Here is a 9,611-nt window from a genome sequence, read left to right as displayed (position 1 = left end):
ATACACCTGAACTTCTGTCACTGTTAGCCACTGTGGTATCATTCTGTCTCTTGAGACTTCATTCTTTAATATCTGCTATCTTAAGCCCCCAGAGAATAGCACTAATGAGTATTTGAAAATGCCAGGTTCTTGGCACCATGTACTGATTAAAAAAAAGAAAAAACCCTGAATAACAGCCATCAGTGTAATGGTCACTCAGCGAGGGGTGTGGGGGATGCATTATGCATGACTTGCCTTGTCATTTCCATCTCTCCCCTGAATCCCCATATTCTAAGTACAGGCAATTAAGCAGCTCTTGGACCAAATCTTAATTAATTCCAGGCTCTGTGACCAAGGCCCTCAAATAAAATGCCATATAAGCAATACACACAAAAAAAAATCACTAAACCATAAGAGGAACAATAATATAAGGATTAGCTTTGAAGAGATCAATGATGGCTGCTTAGTGACAAATTTCTCTTTCTTAGTCTGTGCTTCCCTGCACATAACATTGCCATTCGAGTTTGAAATCTTAGGTGTGAGTTCCCAGAATCTACCATAACATATCTGAGACTGAGCAAATCCATTAGATAGCAGTTTCTTGGGGAAAGGAAACTGTCTTATTGTTCTTTGTATTTTCATCTAGGACATCATAGGTATTCACAAAGTACTGATGAAACTAAATACCATTTAATCAACTCTCCACATTCTTTTTTATTTTTAAAAATTTTATTGTATATATTTAAGGTGTGCAATGTGTTTTGATATACAAATAGATACTGAAGTGTTTACAGCCGTAAAGCAAATGAACGTATCCATCATCTCACATACCCATGTTTTTTTAATGTGGCAAGAGCACCTAAAATCTATTCTTATCACAAAAATCCCAAGTACAATACAGTATTATTAAGTATAGTGCTCATGTCGTACATAACATCTTTGGACTTCTTCATCCTACTTATCTGTTACTTTGTATTCTTTGACCTATATTTCCCCATTTCCTTCTGTCCCCTTTCCCCCATCCCTGGTAACCACTGTTTAATTCTCTGTGTATTTGACATTTTTTTTTTAGATTCCACACATAAGTGAGATCATGTAGTACTTTACTTTCTGTGTCTGGATCATTTCACTTATCTTAATGGTCACCAGATTCATCCATATTATGGAAAATGGCAGGGTATCCTTTCTCCTTTTTTCTTTTTTTTTTCTTTTTTTTTTTTTTAGAGACAGGGTCTCACCGTGTTGCCCAGGCTTGACCTTGAACTCCTGGGCTCAAGCAATCCTGTCTTGGCCCCCCAAAGTGCTGTGATCACAGAGGATATCCTTTTCTAAAGCTAAATAATATTTCACTGTGTGTCTGTATCACAGTTTTTAAGTCCATTTATCCATCAATGGGCACTTTTGTTGTTTCCATATCTTGGTTATTCTGAATAAACATAGGAGTGCAGATATTTTTATGAGGTAGTGATTTCATTTCCTTTGAGAGGGATTGATAAACCCAGAAGAGGGATTGTTAACGCTCCATACTCTTGAAATTTGCATCAGTGATCCACATTGCCAGGTCAATCTTGACTTTGGCCTGCCGATTATATATGATGTACAATCCAACCGATACGTATGAAATGGAAGGCAATTGGTTGCTTTGGGGATTTTTACACCTAGAAAATGCTACCTTTTTTGAACTCTTAGACTAAAACTTTTTCTAAATTTGACTTAATCTTCATACATTGCTCTGAAAAAAACACATTTATATTGCTCTTTTATCCGTAGTATTTAAAATCTTTAAAGTGATAAAATAATCTTATGCACAAATAGTAGGATTTCCATCTGGTGTGCATCTGATCATGGCCAACTACTTGGCTGTGAACATTATCAAAACGTGTTTGTCCCTGTACACCTTTGCTAGTCATATAGATTTTTATTTTCAAAATTGCTTAGTTGGTATCAATATTAGCCAGTGTCAGAAACTAACCAGAAGAAACCCACAGAACAAGCCTAACCAGCTCACTCACAAGTTACAGAGCAAAGCTTGAGTCATTGTACATTCTGTTAGTAAAGCAAGGTACCTCTTTACTCTGTGTTGATTTATTTTTGTTATAAGTATGGTTGCCTTGTGCCGACCTAAGATTTTGGAAACCTTACCAAGTCTCCTCTTCCCATTTTTATAGATGCAAATCTCCACAGTTACAAAGAGAGAGTTGCAAGAAAAAAGGTGGAAAAAAAATCTCTCAACACAATAGCCTATAAAAGGGCATCAAAAACAATGAATAACAGTTTATTTTCAGTACATACAGTGCTGAATCCAGGCAGGGGTCCTCCAATCCAATAAGGGGCAGCAGAAATGCAGGACCCATTTGACAAAGCATCCTCACTTCAGAGAAATGCCTGTTCCTGGGGAAGGAGACTAGCTTTGGCTTTAGCATTTCAAACAGCCTGTGCTTAATAAAGAAAACAGGATGGGGTCTACAGAAGTTGTTGCAAAAGTGCAATCGAGGTAAAATAAAATAAATGCAGGCCAGGCATGGTGGCTCACGCCTGTAATCCCAGCACTTCGGGAGACCGAGGCAGGTGGATCACTTGAGGTCAGGAGTTTGAGACCAGCCTGGCCAACATGGTGAAACACCATCTCTACTAAAAATACAAAAAATTAGCCAGGCATGGTGGCACATGCCTGTAATCCCAGCTACTTGGGAGGCTGAGGCAGGAGAATTGCTTGAACCCAGGAGGCAGAGGTTACAGCGAACAGAGATTGTGCTACTGCACTCCAGCCTGGGCAACAGAGTTAGGCTCTGTCTCAAAAAAATAAAACCTTCTGTGGGAAAAATACTGTGTCTCTGAAAGTTTCAGATGCAGTAGACTTCCTTCTTTTTTTCCCCACTTTATTGGCAAGGACCCAGTTGGCACAGCTTTATTTTGAGCTCAATCCATCAACAATTCAAGAGAATTAATAATGTATTTATATCACATGCTAGTAGTAGCATAAAATTATCTATAAATGTTTAATATATATTCTGTAATGCTTTTGGAACACATGTTATAAATGATAAATAAATAATAATGGATTCTTTATGAAACATTTATCCCTAGCATGGTTACTGTTATGTTATAACTGCTTCAGAAACCATTACTAACAAAGTGAATTGAGTTATCAAAGTTATAGATACGTTTAGCCCGCCATTCATAATGAAACGTGCAAGACTTAAAATGAAGTAAAGACACTGGAAGCAGCTGTTGACAAATTGTAACTGTCAGAGTCACCAGTCATATTTAGCCGTTCACGAACATAAACGACTGGCAACCATTTAATAAACTATGCCTCATGAAATATTGAGTCCTGGTATCTTGTAATTGTAGAGTCTGCGGATTCTTTTCTGTGGATAGTAACACTGAATCATGGAGTCTTCCCCAAATTTCCACGGGTTCAGAAGGGCTTCGAGCAAAAGTTCAACCAAGGACTATGAATTTGATACAAAAAGACACTGCCTCGCTGGAAACAATATACACAGGCTAGCCAGGGGTGAGCGTCTAAGATGAGTTCGGTATTTTGAACACTTACTATTTGAAAGTCAACAAGATTTTGACCGGGCATGGTGGCTCACGCCTATAATGCCAGCATTTTCGGAGGCTGAGGCAGGAAGATCACTTGAGGTCAGGAGTTCGAGACCAGCCTGGCCAACATGGTGAAACCCCGTCTCTACTAAAAACAATACAAAACAAAAAAAAACTGCTGGGCGTGGTGGCACGTACCTGTAATCCTGGCTACTTGGGAGGCTGAGGCAGGAGAATCACTTGAACCCAGGAGGCAGAGGTTGCAGTGAGCTGAGATCGCACCACCACACTGCAGCCTGGGTGACAGAAATAAATAATAGATAAGTAAATATGAAAGTCAACAAAATTTTTTTTCATTAGTTTAAAATGGAGGGATCATTTATATACAGTAAAATTCATCTTTTGTGTACAGTTCTGTGAATTATGAGAAATGCCCACCATTATGTAGCCACCAACAAAATTAAGTACCCCTTTGTTTTTTCTATAACCCTTGTAGTCTGCCCCTCCCCCATCCTCAGCTCTTGGAAACCAGTGATTTGTTCTCTGTTCCTACATATCTGCCTTTTCCAGAATAGCATGATAAATGAAACCCTAAGTTTGTAGCTTTTTTAGGCTGGCTGCTTTCCCTCAGAATAATGCATTTGAAATGTGTCCATGGTGTTGCATATATCAGTAGTTTATTCTTTTTTATTGTTGAGTAGCATTCCATTGTATGGATATAGTATACCGTAGCTTATTTATTCACCAGTTGAAGGATATTTTAGTTGTTTTAAGCTTTTGGGAATTATGGCCGGGTGCAGTGGCTCATGCCTGTAATCCCAGCACTTTGGGAGACTGAAGCAGGTAGGTCGCTTGAGGTCAGGAGTTTGAGAGCAGCCTGGGCAACATGGTTAAACCCTGTCTCTACTAAAAATACAAAAATTAGCCGGCATGGTGGCTTGCACCTGTAGTCCCAGCTATTCAGGAGGTGAGGCAAGAGAATCACTTGAACCCAGGAGGTGAAGGTTGCAGTTAGCTGAGATCACACCACTACACTCCAGCCTGGGCAATGGAGCAAGACTCTTTCTCAAAAAAAAAAAAAAGTTTTTGGTAATTGTGAATAAATCTGCCATTAACATGTAGATACACGGCTTTTGTATGAATGTAAGTTTTCTCTAGGATAGATACCAGGAATAGGGCTGATGGTCATAAGAGATATATGTATTTAGTTTTATGAAAATGTCATACTAATTTCCAAAGTGGCAGCACCATTTTGATTTCTGTCAGCAACGTATGAGAGAACCATGGATTATTGCTAGCACACGGTATTGCCAATTGTTTTTACTTCATTTTTATTTTTTGAGACGGGGTCTCACTGTCACTCAGGTTGGAGTGCACTGGTGCAATCTCAGTTCACGGCAACCTCTGCCTCCCAGACTCAAGCGAGCTTGACACCTCAGTGTCTTGAGTAGCTGCGACTACGGGAGAGTGCCACCACACCTGGCTAATTTTTTGCATTTTTGGTAGAGATGAGGTTTCGCCATGTTGCCCAAGCTGGTCTCAAACTCCTGAGCTCAGGCAATCCACCTGCCTTGGTCTCCCAAAATGCTGGGATTACAGGCTTGAGCCACTGTGCCTAGTCATCTGTTTATTTTTTTAATTAACAAAAGATTTTCGTTACGCCAGTCAATGCAAACACTTTTTAGATAGACATATCAAAGTTGGAAAAAAAAATTTTGTTACATGTAGTATGGACAAAAGTCACTTCTGAATTTTAATTTTTTCAGTTGGGTATGGAAAAAGTCAGGTGGGAAAAGTGTTAGAGTAAATCTCAGGGATGAAATGCAGTTGTCAGCTACGTGTGATGTTTATCAATAAAAAAGCAGATAATCTTAAAAGTTGTTATTAAGCTGTGTAAAAAGATTCACATTTGAATTAGCCATATCGAAAATTCAAATATTCTTCCATTTGGCATTTTCCAGATGTTTTTATTTTCCCTCTTTTCTCATCTTCACTAACCCATAAACTATGTTGTACATAGGAAATGTTAATTTTCTTATTATGCAGACAGAAAATGAAAGCTTAGAGAGGTTTTAAATTGAGCAATCATTTAATGAACATTTACCATGTGCTCAATATTTTATTCATATAATCTTTACAGTAGCTCCAAGAGGCAGGTGTTACCCTACCCATTTGACAGATGAGAAAATTAATCTCAGGGAGATTAAATACTTTATCCAAACTTTTACAACAATTGACTCAAAATGAATTAAATACTTAAATGAAAGAGCTAAAACTATAAATGTCTTAGAAGAAAAGATAGAGGAAAATCTTTATGACATTGGATTTAGCAATAGTTTCTTGGATATGACACTAAAAGTCCAGGTAAGAAAAGAAAAAATATAGATAAACTAAACTTCATCAAAATTCAACTTTCATGCTTTAAAGGACACTATCAACAGTCAAAACAAGACCCACAGAATGGAAAAAAATAGATGTATATCACCTATCTGATAAAAGATTGCTATCCAGAATATATAAAGAACTCTTACAACTCAACAACAACAACAAAACTCAATTTAAAAATGAACACGTGGCCTGGCATGGTGGTTCACACCTGTAATCCCAGCACTTTGGGAGGTCAAGGCGGGTGAATTGCTGAGCTCAGGAATTTGAGACCAGCCTGGGCAACAGGGTGAAACCTCTTCTCTACAAAAAATACAATAATGAGCTGGGTGTGGTGGCATGCACCTGTAGTCTCAGCTACTCGGGGTGACTGAGGCGGGAGGATTGCTTGAGCATAAGAGGTTGAGGCTGCACTGAGCCATGTTTTTGCACCCCTGCACTCCAGCCTGGGTGACAGAGCAATACCCCATCTCTTGAAAAAAAATGAAAGGACAGAGAATTTGAATAGATATTTCTCCAAAACAGATATACAACTGGCCAACAAGCACATGAATAGATATTTATATCACAAATCATTGCTGAAATGCAAATCGAAGCTGGAATAAAATGCCACATTACACCTAGTAGGAAGGCTACTATTAAAAACAGAAAACAAATGTTGGTGAGGATTTGGAGAAACTGAGGCCCATGTGCATTGCTGGAGGGAATGTAAAATGGTGCAACAGCTATAGAAAACAGTATGACAGTTCCCAAAAAAATTAAACATAGAATTGCCAAATAATCCAACCGTTCCACTTCCAGGTATATACACACAAACTCTGAGGACTGCAGCTCAAAGAGGTATCTGTACACCAAATCCATAGCAGTAGGATTCACATTAGCCAAAGTGTGGAACTATCACAAATGTCCACTGAGAGATGAATGGATAGACAAAATGTGGTACACACATACAGACACGGATAAATAGTGGAATGTTATTTAACCTTAAAAAGGAGTGAAACTTGGATACATGCTACAACCTGAATGAACCTCGAAGACATTATTATGTTAAGCGAAATAAGCCAAACACAAAAGGACAAATATTGTATGACTCCCTTCCTCTGAGGTATCTACGATAGTCAAATTCCTAGAGACAAAAAGTGGGATGTGGTTATCAAGGATTCGGGGTAGGAGAAAATGGAGAGTTATTTTTTAATGGGTTTGAGTTTCATTTTTGGATGATGAAAAAGTTCTATAGACAGATAGTGGTGGCTGGATGTGGTGGCTCACGGCTGTAATCCCAGCACTTTGGGAGACTGAGGTGGGTGGATAGCCTGAGGTCAAGAGTTCGAGACCAGCCTGGCCAACATGGTGAAAACTTGACTGTACTAAAAATAGAAAAAAAAAATTATCTGGGCATGGTGGCAGGCACCTGTAATCCCAGCTACTCAGGAGGCTGAGGCAGGAGAATCACTTGAACCCAGGTGGCGGAGGTTACAGTGAGCCAAGTTCATGCCATTGCACTGTAGCCTGGGCAACATAGCAAAACTCTGTCTCAAAAGAAAAAAAAATAGTGGTGAAGATTGCACAACAACATGAAGACACTTAATGAACTAAACTACACACACTTAAAAATGGTTACAATGGCAGCTTTTATGTTATGTATATTTTACTACAATTTTAAAAGCCTTGAAAATGAAAGAGATTAGCATAGAAGGCTCAAAAATGGTTCAAATTGGATCCCATGAAAAAGCAACAAAAATATGAGTCCTGAAGTTGCTAAATAGAAAGTCTTTAAGAAGCCAGAGATCAGAGCAGCAGAGTACACGCAGCAGATATCCCATGGGGCTCACAGCACTTGCAAACAACTTGTTGGATTCTTACGATTTTCTTTCCTTTTTTATTTTTATTTTTTTTCTTTTTAAGATGGAGTCTTGCTCTGTTGCCCAGGCTGGAGGGCAGTGGTATGATTTTGGCTCACTGCAACCTCCTTGTCCCAGGTTCAAGCAGTTCTCTGTCTCAGCCTCCTGAGTAGCTGGGATTACAGGCACCCACCACCATGACCGGCTAATTTTTTGTATTTTTAGTAGAGAAGGGGGTTTCACCATCTTGGCCAGGCTGGTCTTGAACTCTTGACCTCGTGATGCACCCACCTCGGTCTCCCAAAGTGCTAGGATTACAGGCGAGAACCACCACGCCCCGCCAAGGATTCTTACAATTTTCTAAAGGGAAAATAATTCTCACCCTGAAACGTGCCCAGAGTTAGTATTTTCCTTCTACTCTTTCAACCATCAGCTACCCCTTAGCTCTAACATTCACCAGCTTTTATGATTAAATGGGGACAGGTTGAAAAGATGGCACGTTAATTAATGATGAATTACCCTGGATTACTGCAGAGTTCCTCCTGTAAGAGTCACATTAATAGCAGAAATCAGTTCTTCATTATTCAGGAGGAAAAGGAGAAGTAAGAATGAGGCCCTCATTTTCTGCTAGATCTTATTGCTGAACCGATTTAACATCTCGGATCTTAAGCTCCACTCGAGTTCACTGAAGCTTCACAACTATTAAAACGCTCAGGATTCAACGGAAACAACGAAAATAAAATGGAAACTCATCTACATAACAAAGGCGGAGAGAAAGCAGGCATCTTATCAGCCATCACCAGATCTTTGCTTTTGAACAAGCACTGAAGCCTTACAGGGTGAACACAATACAATAGTCTGCGTCATTAGAAGGTAAGTGCCTGCTTTGGGCAACCAGGGCAAAGTGGTGCACATAAAGAGGTAAACATTCTAGGAGTGAGTATGTGTGTGTGTGTTAGGGGGGCACATGGAAAGCAGTGGACTGGATGGTTTCTTTTAAGACCTTAGCGTGTCTCTGTATTTATCAGAGTGTCAGCTCTCTGTTCCACACATGTTCCTTTAAGGCTAAAAAGATGCATTCTCCAGAATCCTTCCTGGCCGTGTAACCAGCTCTCAAATGTAATCTGACCTCTAGGCCAGGAGCTTAAAATTCCAATACTTTTAGGAGCCAGGGATGTCTCATAAATTGGAGAAGTGAATCACTTATTATAAAATAGAGAGTGGTGGTATGTCTGGTACATATTAAGCATCCAATAAATTTTTACAGTTTTTTTTAGGGTTGTGATTTGGGCATCATAATTTGATAGAAAGAGAACTCCTTTGGTAATATCGTAGTTTGTACTTAATCTAAATTTAACCTATCTCTAGTTTTTTTTTTTTTTTTTTTTTTTAATACAGGGTCTGCCTCTATGGCCCAGGCTGGAGTGCAGTGACATGATCTTGGCTCGCTGCACCCTCCACCTCCTGGACTCAAGTCATCCTTCCACCTGAGCCTCCCTAATAGCTGACACTACAGGCACATGCCATGACACCTGACGAATTTTTTGTATTTTTAGTAGAGATGGGGTTTCGCCGTGTTGCCCAGGCTGGTCTTGAACCCCTGGACTCAAGCAATCCACCCACCTGGGCCAACCAACATGCTGGGTATACCCACTTTTTGAACTTTTTTAAAAAGCAGTGAGTTTATTGTGAAACTACACAGGCCCATAGAATAAAGGAACCTAAGAAAAGAGCAATGAAAGGGGTGAACTAATGATTGAATTGGACAATGCACCTAGCTCTGAGCTTCCTGGTAGACAATAAAAAGTAGAAAAGTGATGCATTAAAGGCTTTCATTGTCTGATCGCCAATTTATTT

General features: G+C 39.4%; 1 annotated feature.

The window, feature by feature from the left end:
- Positions 8,032 to 8,718: an enhancer, noted in NCBI's record as "NANOG-H3K27ac hESC enhancer chr16:8187641-8188327 (GRCh37/hg19 assembly coordinates)". NCBI's record gives its function as "activates a minimal SCP1, AML or CMV promoter by ChIP-STARR-seq in naive H9 embryonic stem cells {active_cell/tissue: H9 hESC(naive)}" and the evidence as "EXISTENCE:reporter gene assay evidence [ECO:0000049][PMID:30033119]".

Source organism: Homo sapiens, chromosome 16 (genome assembly GCF_000001405.40).
Source record: "Homo sapiens chromosome 16, GRCh38.p14 Primary Assembly".
Classification (NCBI taxonomy): Eukaryota; Metazoa; Chordata; class Mammalia; order Primates; family Hominidae; genus Homo; species Homo sapiens.
Note: the sequence above shows the minus strand (reverse complement) of the source record. Positions and strands in the feature narration are given on the sequence as shown.